We start from the raw sequence: 18,014 nt of genomic DNA on the forward strand, positions 1-18,014 counted from the left end.
ATGGAAATAGAAACTAGGTGGCCTAATGTGACATTCTGTCACTGAAATCATATAGAAAGCATAAAGCTTGCTCTACTGAAGAAATTTAGAGAGATTAAGATGCCACCTCCCTCCTTGTGATACTTGCTTATGAGAGTGTTGTTCTAGAGCATTTGATTTCCAAATATGGTCTCTTGAAACCTGCCTCAGGATCATCTGAGGTGTTTGTTAAAAATGTAGACTCAGGGTCTAATCCCAAATGGACTAAATTGAAACATCCAATACGGGGCCCCAGAACCTGCATTTTAAACACACCCCCAGATGATACATATGTAATCTGAAGCTGAAGAATCTCAACCTAGTGCAGCAATCTCCAAATATTTGACCAGCCACCAATTTGTAAAGGTTTTGATATCCTCCACGTATGTGGTGTATATTCAATTACCAATTGTAAACATTGTCATGAATAAAATTTTAGAAATCTAGTAAAGGTTAGAAATATAAATATGATTACAAATTAAACATTTTATTTCTTCCTTTATAATGGTCTTATAAACAGTCTGGGATGTATCTCTGGTCCAAATGTTACCTTTACCTCAAATGTGGAGAATAGCATGCTTTAGAGATGGGACATAAAAATCTATCTCTGTGTATTATATATTTTTTAAAAAATTTCTACTGTAAAATATAATGTAACTCTTGGCTTCCATTCAAATGTGACAAGTCTTAGCATTTTGCCAAGTTTACTTGAAAATTTTTAAAAAATAAAAAACTATAGAAACATTTAAAATCCTCTGTGTATTCCTTCCTGTCCCTTGTCCCATCCTTTTAACTCCAGAGTAACAATTATTCTGAAATGTCAGTGTTATGGCTGTCATTCATGGCTTTATACTATATCTACATAGGTATTTATCCACAAACAGTTCTCTTTCTCCTTCCCTTTTTCTCCAAGAGAATTGTTATATGTGATAATATCTTTATGTAAGTGCTTGCTTATTTTGCTTAGTATAATGGTCTTTAAATTTATCTGTATTGGTACATACAGATACATATACATAAAATAAATGCTAGTTTATTTTAGCTATTATAATATTTCATTGCATGAAAACGTGTATTTGTGCACATGTGAGAAAGCTTTTCTTGAGTTATATGCAAAACTGGAATTCTTAGCTTGCACATTTAGTAGATCTACAATTTTTATTTTTGGATGTCTTATGTCAGATATAAAAGTGTACAAAATATATCTTGCTTTAAATTTTATTGGTCATGATCAGCAGGATAGCACATACTTTCATGTTTGTGACCCTTTTTTTTACATTTTCCATTAACTCTCATTTTCTTTGTTCATTTATTTTTTCTGTTGGGTTCTTTGACATTTTCTTATTCATTTGCAGATGTTTTTGTATATTTTGGATACGAACCTTTTACTTGTTTATAGGTATTGAAAATACATTCTCCTAATGTGTAGCTTGCCTTTCACTTTTGCTTTTTTTTGCACAAAAAATTTAAATTTTAATCGAATTAAATTTATAATTATTTTCTTTTAGATTTGTTGAGTCATCAAAACCGCAACGTCATGTTTTCTCTTATACTTCCTTTTTCTAAGTTTAACTTTGATTTTCAGATGTAGTTCTTTGGTTCATCTGCATTTTTTGAAAAGTGTATTTTTTAATTTACATGAAGTAAAATTCTTTTTTGTTTTTATTTTTGGCTAAACTTTTGTGTGAGCTTTGACAGATGAATGGACTTGTGTAACCATTGCCACAATCAGGATGCAGAACAGTTCCATCACTCCAAGAACCCCTTTGTGTTGTCCCTATACAAACTCTCCATCTACTCCCAAACACTAGCAGCCACTGATCTGTTCTCTACCCCTGTAGGTTTTGTCTTTTTCTGTTCTCTACCCCCGTAGGTTTTGTCTTTTTCTGTTCTCTACCCCTGTAGGTTTTGTCTTTTTCAGAAAGTCATAGAAATTGAATATACAATATGTAATCTTTGAGTCCAGTTTTTTTCACGATTAAGATTTAATCATGTTGGTTCATGTATCAATAATTTGTTCTTTTTCTTGCTGAATACTATTCCATTGTATGGATGTAGCACAGTTTGTTTATCCAGTAAGCTACTGTAAGATATTTAGGTTTTCAGTTCTGGTGATTATGAATATGCTGCTATAGATATTCTTGAACAGGTTTTCGTGTGAGCATACATTTTCATTTCTCCAAGGCAAATACCAAAGATTAAGTGCATATTTTACCTTATAAGAATCTGTCAAGCTGTTTTCCAGAGTGACTGTTAGCATTTTGCAATGTATGAGGATTCCAGTTACTCTGCATCCTTGTCAGCAGTCAATATTATCTTTTATTTATTATTTTTTAGCCATTCTAACTATTATCTCATCTGTACCTCATTCTGGTCTTAATTTGCATTTTCCTCATGATAAATGATTTCAAACTTCTTTTCACGTGCTTGTTTGCCATCACATATGTTCTTTGGGGAACTATGTATTCAAATCTTTTGCTCATTCTAGAGGGGGTTTTTTTCTTATTATTGAATTTCAAGGGACAGGGTTATGATATTTAGTCTAGCTCTCCTTGTAAGAACTGGAAGAGGAATAGTTGTCATTAGCTATCACATTCTGTCTTGGGCACATAGCAGCATCAAGACATCCTAACAATTCATACAAATGCTTAATAGTGTTAACTGTTATGTCAGTGTTAATTGTGGTTAAATGGGGGGAGTTCTCTACTCTCGGTAATAAAATTATCTTTTCACTCCCCATTGTCACCAAAGCATAAAAAAAGTTCCTTATATATTCCATATATAAGCTGCTCATTGGATATATGGTTTGTAAATATTCTTTCCCAGTCTACAGTTTGTTACTTTTTTTTTTTTTTTGAAACAGAGTCTTGCTCTGTCGCCCAGGCTGGAGTGCAGTGGCACGTACAGTTCTTTACTTTTAAAGAATCCTGGCCAGTTATTTTGTAGACTGATCTTCATTTCAGGTTGTCTGATGTTTCTATGATTAAGTTCAGATTATGCATTTTGGGCCAGAATACCACAGAAATGACCTTAATCTTTGGTTGTCTCTGTGCTTCATGTCAGGTGATACATGATGTAGATATGTCTTATTGTTGTGATGCTTTCATTTTTTACATAGGGGTTTGAGTTATCAGATTATAATATTAGTACATTAAAGTCTATTATTATAACAGTGGTCTTGTCAGTTTCTTCTTGAATTCTACCAGTTATTGAGGTAGGAATTTTTAGGCTTTAAAAAATAACATGATATTGTGAATAGTGCCGCAATAAACATACGTGTGCATGTGTCTTTATAGCAGCATGATTTATAATCCTTTGGGTATATACTCAGTAATGGGATTGCTGGGTCAAATGGTATTTCTTGGAACCAAGCCAAATGACCAACAATGATAGACTGGATTAAGAAAATGTGGCACATATACACCATGGAATACTATGTAGCCATAAAAAATGATGAGTTCATGTCCTTTGTAGGGACATGGATGAAGCTGGAAGCCATCATTCTCAGCAAACTATCACAAGGACAAAAAACCAAACACCGCATGTTCTCACTCATAGGTGGGAACTGAACAATGAGAACACACGGACACAGGAAAGGGAACATCACACACCAGGGACTGTTGTGGGGTGGGGGGAGGGGGGAGGGATAGCATTAGGAGATATACCTAATGTTAAATGATGAGTTAATGGGTGTAGCACACCAACATGGCACATGTATACATATGTAACTAACCTGCACGTTGTGCACATGTACCCTAAAACTTAAAGTATAATTAAAAAAAAATAACATGGTAATTAACATCTTCTGTGTTTATTCCTTAGTCTTGTGTGTTACTTCCTTCTTTGTTGCTATGATGGTTTTTGGCTTTAAATTCTATTTGGTCTGATAGTAATATTGGTAATTTTCCCCACTTACCCCTTCCTTTTTAGTCTTTTAAATGGTTTTTAGCTCAATTTTGGTGCCTTGCAAATATTTTAGACTTTCATTTTTAAAAGATGCACTTATATTTTATTGTAAATATTAACACATTTAGAATCATTGCTACCACTTTATTTTGTAATATTTTCTAAGTATTCATTTTCTTTTCTTTTCTTTCTTCTTTAGAAAAAAATTCTTTTTTATTTCTTGTGCAGGTTTACAGGATTTCTGTTCAATTTCTACTTGGGGCAAGGTTTCCCTTAATTGTTTTTACATGAGTAATTAAATATTTTTCTAACAAGGCCTACATTGATTTAGTGTTTCTCTCTTAATCACAAACACACCACAAAGATCCTAGTAAAGTTTAACTTTCCTTTGAACAGCTCACCCAATTCCATGTGCACACATGCATACATTCATATTGTTATTGCTATTTAGAATAATAGTTTTATTATTAAAAATAATAAACTATTGCATTTAAAAATCAATAGTTAAATATAGTTTGAAGCATGCATTTATTAATTTATCTGTTCACTGTTGTTTTTACTTGTCTTTTCTTCAGGGCACCATTTTCTTTTATTATATATAACCTTTAATAGCTCCAAATTGGTGTTTCTCAGCACACTGGATGGTTAAATATTGATCTCCTAAGGCCTAAAGGTGAACCAGTGATTTTTAGGTGACCAAGTGCTTCCACCTGAGCATAGCCTTGTTTGTTCACTCCCATTATGATTTTCTAAGTATGTCATGATTTTAAAATGTTTGGTAAATGTCACTCCAACAGCCTTTCACTCTGAGTCTGGAGCTTAAACTCTCATCTTTGAATATCTGAACAGCTTTTTATTACCTGGATTTAAAATTTGAGGTTGACAGTTTTTCTTCAGCATTTTAGTATTACTTTATTCTATATATTGCTTCTAATGGGACATATCTTGTCAGATTAATCCTCATTCTTTTGTTCATAATCCTTTTTTCCCTATGATAGCTTTTGTGGTTATCTCTTTATCCTTAATGCTTTTACATTTCACAATGATGCAATTAGGTGTCTGTTTATTTTCATTTATCTTGCTAAAACACTTTGAATTTCAGAAGTAGTGTCTCCTTTCTACTTGGTAAAATTCTCACTCATTTCATCTTTACATTTTGTGTCTCCATCACTTTTAAAAAATCTGAACTCTGATGCTAGAACTCCTCTATTCTCTATGTCTCTTAACTGTTTTGGTTCCTGTTTAAATCACTTTATGACTCTATGCTGCATTATGGGTGAAGACTTCAGTACTATTATTCACTTAATCTCTTCTCATCTGTCGGCTACTGTGTCCAGGCTAGATTTTATTATATCTTTTAAGATTTTTTTCTCCCACAATGGCTACATTTTTATAGCCAAAATTTATATTTGCCTGTTTATTTTTATATTGTGATGGTTAGAATCCTAAGGTCGTTTCTGTGATCCATGTCCATGTTGGTAGATATGCTTCTTCTTTTGAATGTAGGTGGGACCTGTAACTTGCTTCTAACCAATTCAGTTTGACAGAAGCGATGGAATATTATTCCCATGATTATGTTTTGCTATACAGCAAAACTGAAGAGAATTTGCAGATGTAGTCAAAGTTTTTAATCTATTGACTTTAATCTAAAGGGAGATTATCCTGGATGGGCCTGTCCTAACCAATCAAACCATTTTAAAGAGGGTCCAGAGGTCATAGATGGGGGCAGTGGAGTTGCTCTTTTCTGGGCCTTGAAGAAACAAGTTGCCATGATTTCCACAGCTACAAAGAAATACATTTTGCCAACAACCATGTGTGCTGTGGAGAGGCCCCCAAACCTCCAGTGAGACCACACCCCGGCTAACACTTTGATTACAATGTGGGAGACCCTTAGTAGAGGAGACAGATAACACTGCAACTGGCCTCCTGGACCACAGCAACTTTGAGATAATAAATGTATGGTGTGTTTAGTCACTAGGTTTGTGGTAATCTGTTATCCAGAAAACTAATACATATTTGTATCAATTTTTGTTTCATGGTTTGCTGTTTTAATTTCAGTATTTCCTGTTCTTTTCTTGAATATTATTTTTATTTCTTTAGTTATTTTATTATTAATTAAACTTTATACCTCTTTTCTATTGTTTTTATTTCATTTTATCTGCATTGGATTTTGAATTAATTTTGTTAGCTGTCTAAGAACTACATTTTTTGTTCATGTAATTTTCGGGTTTAGGCTCATTTAAATAGGAAACGCTCTCCCTTTTACCCCTTCCCACCACCTTCTTCATCTAAATCTCTATTCCCACATTACCTGTTGCTTTGAACTGCCTCCCAGAGGCCTGCTGTTTCAGAAAGAGACTTTGTATCAGCTGCACCATGGTGATTAGTCCTGAAGCCAGCTGGTATATTTCTTTAGGTCCTGTCATGGAGATATTTTTGTCTTGTCCTCCCACCTCCTTAGGTAACATTCATAGAATATCTAACCCAGGAAGCAGACATTTTTTCAGATTTCTTTTAAAATAGGGAGCTTCATCATACCAGCCACTGGTTTCAATCAGTTAGCCTGGTCTCCCTGGTAACATAAGACACTTTGCTATTTGTTGTTCCTCAGACTCTTCCAGCCCCAAGTCTATTTCTGAATCAGAAGCTCATCTGGTTTGCAGCTTCAGCTCTGCTCACTCCTCTATTCCATTTTGGGATCTCAGGTGTATTTACCTTAATTTGAAGCCTAGTTGTGTTTTTTTCTCTTTTAATTGAAAATATTTATTATCATCCATTTATGGAGGGAAGGACAGAATTTAAACTTATAATTCTTATTTACTTTGCTGAAAACTATAAAAAGGCTCATAACCATATTATTTTATTAGATATATTTAATAATGAACTATATTTAATAATGAATGCAATATTCACACCAACATTCATGTATTGACATGTACTTATCTAATCTTTTTGGATACTTATAACATTTTTGCTTATTTTCTGAGTATTATATCTTAGTCATGGGTCCCTGACATCAACTTTATACACTGATTCCTTTCAATGGCCAGAGTTGGCTGGATTAATGGTTTAACCTGGGTAAAACAAAGGTTTTTCCTGAGAATTTGAAATTGAGAGAAAAAGAAGAAAATAGAGAGTACTCAGTTGCTTTTCCTGTGGCTTACCTATGTTAAGCTAATCATGCCAAGTTTACCTTCAATGAAAGAAAAAGTAGAAGGTAGTTGTTGTTTTTTTTTTTCAGAAAGACAGGAGATAACCTGAATAGAAACAAAGGTTAGAGATGGATAGAGGGCTTTATAATTCCATAATAATCTTTCCTATATGTGTGTTTTAAGAGATACCTACAGATCCTTTACAATAAATTTATCTAGTTGGTGTTACTTTATTGAGTTTCTATTTCTTGCAAGTAAAATGAGTCCTAACTAACTGTGAGGGGTCTGCCTGTCATTCACTTGGCTAAGCTGGACCTATGCTTTCCAGAATACCCTTCCCTAATGCTCTAGGCTAGAGTTGGCTAAAAGTGGTACTTGCATGACATTTGTTTAGAAGAAGGAAACCAGCATCCATTGCTCTCCAAAGGTTGTGATGACAGTCGTGTGATGAGATCTGAGGCTGTGGTGGCAGACTGAGTGAGGATAAACTGATGGGTTATAGCTTGTTCTTTAAAATCTCCTCTGCTCCACATCCAGCAATCTTGCCAGCTGCTGATCTTGCTGACCAATAAAGGCCTCTTGTCCATCACCAGGTACTTGGAGGCAGACCCCTAGACTTCTTCCAGAGACTTCTCCATCACCTCCCATTACTCAGATCCATGTACATGTCTGAACATGAAATCAGTGGTTTCTCAGACTGACTGATCTCTGACTCCTCTAGCTTCCCAATTTTTCCTTTCAGACATTCATTAAGGAAGATCTAATTCCTACAGCAAATCTCTCATCCCATAGTTCATAATCATTTTGCTTCCCTGACTGAATCCACATTAGTGATACACTAATGTAACTTGTCATGTTAAAGCATTCCTTAGGAGTATGATTTCCAGCCAATTTCCTCAATACGCTTCTCTGCTGAAAGACTAGCTCCCATGTCTTCTAAATTGCTCCACTGCAAAGTTTTCTGTGCCAATAAAGATTTTTTCTTCACAAATATTGTTAAATTATTATATACAACATAACCTTTGAAATTAAAATCTATGGATTTTTTGCATACTGTTTATTGAGCAACTACTACATGCTAAGCAAAGCTCTCAAACTGGGGATGTAATAGTAAATAAGATTAAAATGCTTCTGATTTTATAGATTTTTGCATTCTAATTGGAGAAGGGAATACAAACAGGCAAAAAGGAAACAAATAAATAAGATAATTTCAAATAGTGCTTATATTATGAAGGAAATGGGCAGGGAGATCTGAGAGAGAATAACTAGCAGTGATAGCTTCTTTAGACCAAGAAGTCAAAGAAGCACTCTTAGAAGTTGTCATTCGAACAGAAACAAATGACATGGAGGACCACCTCCATAGAGATCTTGGGAGAAAACATTCCAGGAAGATGGAAACAGTTAGGTGCAAAGGCCTAAGAGGAGAAAGAACTTAGCAAGTTCTAAAGAAGGGAGAAGAGTGGCAGAAGATGAGGTCTGAGAGGTAGGTATGGGTTAAATAATGTATGGCCTTGTAGGCTACAGAAAAGAGTCTGAACTTTTTTCTAAGTGCAAGGAAATACCAGTGCTGAATTTAGCTTTGTTATATGTTTTCTGTTTTAAACTTCCCTCTGATGACTGGGTGAGGATGGATGGTAAGGAGACAAGATTGGAAACAGAGACTAGTACAAGGAGCATGGAGAAGAGGCAAGACTCAGAGTTGGAATTATGTAGCACCTTTTTTCTCTCATGTCCCTTCATTGTTTATTTCAGGAAGGGAAGTTCTTCCCTCACGTTCATTGAAAATGTGAGCCATTCTATGTCTTTTCTGAGTAATTTTAGATAAATTTTATTCACTTAAAATTATTTCCAAAGTTAGAATGTGCATTCACGTAGAATAATCGACACTTAGTTTTCATTCAAAGCTCAAGCCTGTTGCAGGTGCAAAGCCTACATCTGGGCAGGGATTGTGGTTGGCTTCTTTCCACCTCCTACTCTGTGGTTTCTGTTTCCTGGTAAGGGAGATAGAGGGACAAATGAAAGCTAAGGGGAACTGAGGCAGGAAGGCTCTGACTTGTCTGGTACCTCAATTCCCTCTATGCCTAGCTGATATTTAGAACTCATGCTTTCCTTTCTGGAGTACTTTTATGATTAATCAGAAACCCTACCTACACCCCCAGTCACCTGAAATCTTACTGATGAGTGATGCTCTCTCTGTCTCTTCATTAACTACTTCTAGTTAATGAAGGACCACCTTTTGGATGGTCCTATGGGGCATGATATATGTGAACCTCACAACTCTTGGAGTATGTGGACAAAATCTGATAAATGAGGAACATTTAGGCATCATTACACTGAAGAATTCTAGGAGAACATTCAGAAGGATTTAGTCACGTCTTTTTTTACTGCTTCTTTCAGAGCAGATAGCTCCTCATATATTCACTTTTGAATTTTCCAGGAAGGAGTCAGATACCAGTTTATTATATTTCCCACGCTGCAGGGGCTCTTTGCTCCTCACTGACACAAACCAGTCTTCCCAGATATATGTCTCATGCCATCAAATATCCCACCTGCTATAACCCCTTCTGCAGTCTAACACAACACATGAGTCATTCCTCACTTGTTCTGTGAAACATAGCATAGTGGTTTAAAAATATAATTAGGGATACAGACAGCTTGGGATCAAATATGAGTTCAACCTGTTAGCTGTGTGACTTTCAGTAAAGTATTGAAGTCGTTTGCACCCCAATTTCTTAGACTGAAAAATGATGATAATAATAAGAATACCTTACAGAGTTGTGAGAGGTTTAAAAGAGTCATTATTTGCATAGATTAGTGTCTGGGTCATTGTAAGCACTCAATAGCTGTTGCCTGTTACTCCCTGAAGCTTTTCATTCCTAGAACACTGTCTCCCTTTCAGCCTGTCCAACACTACTGTGCTCTTAGTTCCTGATGATTTGAATACCTTGGCATCTCTCTTCTTTAGTAACCTCTTCTTCAAGGGAGTGGTATACCACCTTACCTCAGAAATTCTCTCACTTATTCCCTCATTTCATCATTATAACAGTTGTAAACCTTCCATCATCTCACTTTTAAATGATCTAATTCTCTGTCTGCAACCTTCTATTTTCCCTCTGGTATCTCAACTTCAATAATCCCTCAACCCAGGCAGAACCCATAATCCATTGATCTTACCATATTTGCACTATCTCTCAGCCCTGTCATGTTCTCAAGTTACCTTGTACATATTCTAAATTTCATAATGGAACAGTAGACTCAATACTTTACCCATAATCCTTAACTTTCATGATCTTCTTGCTTTATTTGTACATACTTGGCAATAGCCCAGTCATGGCCTAATCCACTCCTTCCTTGGTCAGCTCCTGCAGGTGTGGAGTGTGTTGCACATAGACGAAGACATCCTGCCATACTAAGTTGTCTCATATCAAATCCATGAAAACTAATTTCAAATGGGGTCCAATTGGTTTCCATCAAATTCTATAACCTTCCCCCAATTATTTGCTTTTCTATCCACTGGAAGAAAATTTCATACCTTCTCAACCACCCTCAAACTTCTTCCTCTGCCTACGTCTCAACTGATGATTTAATAGGAAAAGGGAAGTAATTAGAAGAGATTGGACACAAGCTCTCTTGACTGTGTTTACCCACTTAGCAGCATGTGTACATACATATGCTTTCTTTTCTCCTCTTATTGAAGGTGTACTAAACATGCTGCTACACAGGAAAAAGCTCCACCGTCCCCACTCCTTCCTGCCCATGTGCACCTGTCCCATTTCCTTTCATTGACTCAGTTATCTTCTCTCACTCCTGCAATACCAGGTTTTCCTATCTACTGAATCATGCTCATTAGCATCAGATATACTTATATATCTCAATCGATTAAAAAAATTCTTGGCTGGGTGCAGTGGCTCATGCCTGTAATTTCAGCACTGTGGGAGGCCGAGTCAGGTGGATCACTTGAGGTCAGGAGTTCGTGACCAGCCTGGCCAACATGGTGAAACCCCATCTCTACTAAAAATACAAAAATTAGCCAAGCATGGTGGCACATGCCTGTAGTCCCAGCTCCTCAGGAGGCTGAGGCAGGAGAATTGCTTGAACATGGGAGACAGAGGTTGCAGTGAGCAGAGATCATGCCACTGCACTCCAGCCTGGGTGACAGAGCAAGACTCTGTCAAAAAAAAAAAAAAAAAGAATTCTCCTAACTTCTCCTGACCTTCAGATTTCCTCCTTATAATGCCCTCTTTTTAGCAGAACTCCTCGGAAGAGTTTTATAACTGCTGAGTCCAGTTATTGTTGGTCAGTCTCTTGATTCACTGAAGCTGATTATTGCTTCACCCTTAATGACACTTAGACTCATGATTTAAAATTCCACCTACCTTTGGCAACTCCCAAGATTAAAGTTTTAACATGTCTACTAGATATTGAACAGAGGTATTTAGCATATTCTCAGTCGCTGTACTTCACCTTCCCAACTCCCACTATTCTCTTCAATCTTTCCCAATTCACTAATACCATCCTTCCCATTACTCAGGCCAAAAATCCTTAGGCTCATGCTTGACTTCTTTCTTTCTCACACACTGTGTATCCAATTAGTGAAACCTATTAGGCCTACCTAGTAAATATATCCTGAATCCAAATGCATTTAACCACCTCCGTTGTTTTCATCCTGGCCCACGCCACCATTATCTCTGACCTGGAATTTTGCAATAGCTTCCTGTTGCAAACCTGACTGCTTCTCCCCAGAAATATTGCTGTCAATTCAGAACACAGCAGTTGAAGTCATCCTCATAAACCCCTATGGCATGAAGACTAATTTGAGGGGAATTCTTTTTAACAAAATAGAACTAAAATCTTTAACATAGAAGATGGAAGTAAGTGGCAGGAATTAAAGCATTCTAAGTTTATTCTATTTGATAACAACTAATTAAATCCATGCATTGCATTTGGAGAATTATGGGAGGAGGGGTTTTCTATGCCATGAAGCAATGTTCCGTGAAGCTAATTCTCTGGTATAAATTTTCAATAAACCTGATGAAAGTGCTATATGCTAATTAGTCTTAAAATGGAAAGAACATTTTTAAACTTAATTAACACTATGTTATTTTTTGTGGCCTGTTGACAGAGACCAAGTTGTGTGGGAAACTTCCTTTAAGAAAGGTACACTTACTATATATGTTAACTGTGGACTTCCACATTGTGAAAGAGAGGTCTACTGGAAATAGAATTTTCCTCTAATAAGAAAATATTGTTAGTGCAGAAAGAAGGTAAATTTAGATTGGCTAGGCTCAGAGGAAACAAAGTAGGCATTCTTTTCATATAAGTACATGAAGAATCCTTTCATAAAGTTATAGTTGCTAGTCTTCTTAGTCACATGGTAAGTACTTAATGATATCCATTTTCGCTATGTTGGAGATAGAAATGTTGCGTTAAATATGTGAAAGCAAGCTGGAAAATATTTAATTAGTGATGGTATTATTACCTATGGAGAGGAATGTTTCCATCCTATCACTGGTGGGACACTTGGAATCACCTGTTTCCTGAACCTCATTTTCATGTTCAATAGCTCAAATATTCTGGTAATCCCATGCCCACTTTGTGAACTTGAGCTTCGGAAGGGAGGCAGATAGAATGTGAAACAAATGTAGGCACAGCCACGCTACTCAAGAGAAAAGACTCCTGTGAATCCTGTCTCTTCTGAGTCTCCTTAGTTTTTCTGCCTCTTCTCTGATGCCCAGCTTTCTTGGTAGCTTAGGTGGAAATTTACTTATGAAACATCCCTAAATAGAAAGGTTAAGAGCCTTGATTTTCCCCAACAGTAATATAGAGCATCCTCATATTTACAGTAAAATTCTTCAGTTCATTTAATTACTTGCATCATTCATGTGGGGCTTTTGTTTGGTTGATTATTCCTTAGATCTTTCAGTATGCAATGCTTATACAGAACTTTCATTTAAAAAAATGCAAATATGAGGGAATAAGACTGTATCCATAAGTCATATGCCTACAGGAAACTTATTCTTCAGTGGTGTACCTTAAGTGGAAGTCTCCATTAGTTAAATGCTCCTAATCCATAATCCCCTATTAAGAAAGAGGCTTGTTTTACTTTGTTTTCAATTTTCAGTTATTATAAATACTATAATAATAAAAAATTTCCCCTCAAAACTTTCAGTTTGGTTTAAATGCTTGATCTTGCTAAGTTTTGACAGGTTGCAAATTGTTTAATTCAGGTGCTTCAATTCCTGTTAGTTGGATTGACATAAGAGCAGAAGCCAGATTCTCTTCTCTTTGCTGACATGGCCACATAGATGATAGGGCCTAGTTTTGCACTCATCTGTTAAACTCCATTAATAATATATTAGTTGACAGTTTTACAAGCTGACCAACTCAGTGTTTTATTTCATTGCTACTATACTAACTATACAAAGGAATGCATTGAATAAAAGTGATGACACTTTGAAAGGCAACCACTATTTCAAAAATAATCATTGGAATATATACAGACTCTGTGGAAGAGTTGAGAGATTATGCCCCTATGCTAATATTTGTTCACATCATTTTTTACTGCATGTGTGGTAATTGTCACCTTGAATCACAAGAAAATGCAGAGGTTAGGAAATGGTATTCTTGCAAATTTCCTCTGGACAATTTTTAATGAACAGGCATATAAATATTTTGTTTTCTTGAGGAAGAAGAGAAAATGTCCAATTTACATAATCTCAATTTCTTTGCTATCTACTCCACTGAAATATCTTTATGTTTTTGCATGATTTGCTACATAGATTAAAGTAAAATCACTAGGAGAAGCAAAGTATATATTGTAATAGAATGAACAAATATAGCCGTGAACACTGGGCAAGGACTCTTGGCAGCTCTTCCCTGAAAGCTGTGGAGGACCTGCTGTGCGGAGCCCTAAGGCATTCTGACAGTGAAAAAGCACACTGATAAATAATGTTTTAAAACATTTAATTAATAACTAAGGCCACAGTATGTATCCCTTGTAACTCAGACAAGAGAGGTTTTTTTTTTTTTTTTTCTTCTTTACTCTGCAGTATTAGCTACTTTCCGAAGAGGTAATATGCAAAAGATATGAGGAAATGCCAATGTCTTTTTAATTAGTGTTTTTGACTATAAAAACTTTATAAGCATTCCAAAATGAATTATGGGGAGATAGAATGGCAACTCAATAATAATAACAGCAACAACATGATACCATTGCATGGAAATACTATAGAGTGTTAAAAGCGCAGGCTCTAGAGTTATACAGGTTTGGAGCGGAAACCTAACTTTGCCAGTGTAAACTCCCTGCATCTTCTATGTAAAATAGGGATATAATAGGACCTATGCACAGTGCTCTTAGGGCTAACATAGATAATATATGTAAAATACTTAGTGCTTGGCACATAACACTCAGTATGTCTTAGCTATTCATTATGAGTACTGATATTTTACACAATGCTCCATCTTGAAGAAGAGAGTGACAGAGTATGTTGAGCATTAATGCAAGTATTATTTCAGGCTATAAGCCATTAGATGGTCTTTGGTGCAGAAAACCCACAGGCCCCTTTGGATCTGGTATCCATAGAAGGACATACACAAGACTCATGATCCCCATATTCTTTCATGGTTTCCTCATGGATCCCTTTGACCTTGTTTAAAAAAAAATGTGAGATGCCTTATGAATTCCACCTCAAGCCACAAAACCAAATGTTCTAAAGTCCTGCTCATACTACAAACATGCCTGCGAATTCCACGCTGGGGTTGTCCTTCTTATTTCTTTCAGATGATGATTTATTTTCACCTATTCCCTTGTTCTTTCCAGGATAGGTTAATGTGGACTTGTAAATCCAGTCACCTTCCTCAAAGAAGCCTTTTCTGACCACCACAGTCTAAGCTGATGTCCCTCCCATGTACTCCCAAAGCATCCTGTGTTTCTTCTGTCTCAGCTCCCTGCCCTGTGACAATTACTCTGTTTTCTTGTTTTGCTTTCCCTTCCAGCCTATAAGCTCTAACAAGACAGGCAGCATTGTGTGCCTGCTGCCCACCACAATGTGTGGTATATTGTAGGTGCTTAATAATTTTTATGTGGTTGTTGTTCATGATTGAGAGAGTGAGCTAGCTGTGCAAGTAGTTATATTCCAATGCCTGTGTCCTTAAGGATATGTATTCTCCTCTGATAGAAATACAGGTGTAAGGGATATGAAGTGAAAATTTACATGTAATAGTAATAGTAAAATAAATAAATTAGATGGGATACGGACCCTATCCACTATTATCCCCTTTTAATTTTCACAAAGACTAAATTTTGCCATTTGTTCAGGAGATAAAAAAATGTATGAAAATGTGGGCCTTGTTCACACACCCTCTTTGACTTATTCATTTATTTAATTATGTTGTGCACTTGGAAAATGACTAAGTTATCTATTTCACATAAGGTAATATAGTTATAAAAGGATTAGAATGTTCACATAGTAAAATAACCAGAAGTAAATCTGTGCACTGTTTTATATTTTACAGAGCACTTTCATACTATTGTTTCATAATAATAAGTCTTAATATGCACTCAATCTCATTTTCCCCTTAGATTGCCTATTGTTAGCCCAATGAATTTGGAAAATGACTTCCAGATCCAGAAATTTACCTAACCTTCCCTTACAACCTTGACTCTAATTCTTTTGTTTCTAACCAAAAAACAGCTCAAAGCTCTGTATTATGTTGTACCCATTTGACTCCAGCTACTTTCCATTTGGTGGCAACAAGTTTTTTGTTGTTGTTGTTGTTTTGTTTGTTTTGTTTTTTTTAATGTAAGCTTCAGTCACATAGCTGAACATACCCTCACGTCTTTTCTATCTTACTAATTATCAGTCTTCAAATGATTTTCCCCTTCTTTAATCCTCTACTAATTTGGCAAGAATGGCTTGGTACCATCTAGGTTTTTCACCCTATTTCAATATACTTGCATTGTGATTGGAAGGCTAATTTGTTCAGGACTTGTACAATGATGAGCTTTTCTCAAAACAGAAGCAGCAAGCTGCTTCACACCAACGTATACTTGGCCCCTCTCCTGTCAATCCATATGTAGCAGATGCAGATAGAATCTGTTGGTTGGCACAAGAAGCTCTGTTGCACATGGCTCCTATTTTTAAGCCTCTGTTGGTATCCATGTGCGGAGAACACGGCTTGTTACTGATGGACTCTGAATCACTCCACAAGGAACCAAATTCAGAAATCCATGCAAGCAGCCTAAAAATGAAGAACTGCTTAGTGTGTATGTGTGTGTGCCTGTGTGTATGAATATATATTGACCAGGAAAACATGAATAATTCAGCCCCCTCATACCTAGCCACTAAGATCACAGCACTCTAAATAGAATTGCAATGATTCTATATAAATCGTATCAGTCTTGAAAGGTCCAATGATTTTACTGACAGATTTTCTCTCACTCCCCACCTTTTTAAACAGTACTATTACAGAGGCACAGATATATGAATTAATGGCTCTTTGATTTTAAATAATTGTTGCAAAAGGCCATAAGGGTGGCTTGCTGTAGTATGTCATTTTATGGAGAATAAAGGCCCAAAAGATAATTTCAAAAACATGTTATGTCCTGTCATTAATGATAAAAGTGCATTAATTGATTTGGCTGTCATCAAGAGAGAAGTTTGATATGAGATTTTCAAATTGGTTCCTAGACAGTGAGAATCAAGTGATTACTTGATTTTTTGTTAGGGGTTCTAGTAATTCCTTACTATAAATTATTTTTTATCACATGAGATACCTTTCAAAGTACACTAAAATTCTAACGAGAATTTCTGGTAGAGAAAAGACTGTTATTCAAAAAATGTTTCTTTTGCTTAATGTTTTTCTTCCCATACCTGAGCTGACACTTTGTTCTTTTATCTTTATCTCATTCTTATCTGTTACAATATACACATACCTTGTATGTCCGCCTCCTACTATCCTGTAATAGCTGAATATATTAAGGAAGACCTAAGGTAATTCAGGCCAGTGAGGGATATGATGAAATAGAATGATTATTTTGGGATAAGGGGCTCAAGAAAGGCTAGAGAGTGGCTAACACAATAAAGAGAAGCTTTTTTTATCATATAGATATGCCACATCAAAAAAAGGTGTATTTTAGTGTCCCCAAAACCTGCTGTAAGTATAATCTCAGACACAATCTTGTCTCGGACTTTGATTTAAGTTTATAACTTAGTTTTGGAAAATACTGCCCCATACACTTTATTGTGGGTGTCTGTCAACAACCAATCCCATCCCAAGACCAATGACACCCAGATGGAATTTATCCTCTGGGTAAAATTTGTTTATTATATATACAAAATAGAATAAAATATAAAATACCAGCATGTATATACAAAATAATGGACAGTATTAGTTTTGTGAAACATTTGTTTTGGTTATAGTTTGTGTGTGTGTGTGTGTGTGTGTGTGTGTGTGAGTGTGTGACTGGATTATGATTCAGTGGCTCACCCATTTTTCCTTTCAAAAAAGTTTGAACCTTGCTACCCACAACCTTGCTACTTCTCTGACCTCCCAGTCCCCCAAACACCCTAAGCTTCACCAACTGTAGACAAATGACTAGTTAAGTAGGGTCTTTTGAGATCACCTCCACTACACTAGGAATTGGTAAGAAGAATATTCCTGCTTCAGGACATCTGAGGGAGAGAGAGATATTGATGGCATGCTCTTTTCTCAGGCCATGCATAGTTCACCTGTTGAAGATAATCTATGATCAGCCCTATCTTCCCCTAAATCTACCCTCTACCCCTTTCATAGGCAGTTAAGGATAAAAGTTGAGGTACAACCACTTACATTCTACCTCATGAATACAACAGAGTTTGCTAGAATGTTTGGCTTGTGAGTATGGTGGAAACCTTGCTCTGTGCCACTCTGAGAAGGGCCTCAGGTACTCATACCAAC

General features: G+C 36.0%; 1 long non-coding RNA gene across 1 annotated transcript in view; it reads left to right on the forward strand.

The window, feature by feature from the left end:
• Nucleotides 1-18,014, forward strand: part of LOC124900404 (uncharacterized) — a 228,127-nt gene that overhangs the window by 108,790 nt on the left and 101,323 nt on the right. The window lies entirely within an intron of this gene.

Source organism: Homo sapiens, chromosome 1, assembly GCF_000001405.40.
Source record: "Homo sapiens chromosome 1, GRCh38.p14 Primary Assembly".
In the NCBI taxonomy this organism is placed as follows: domain Eukaryota; kingdom Metazoa; phylum Chordata; class Mammalia; order Primates; family Hominidae; genus Homo; species Homo sapiens.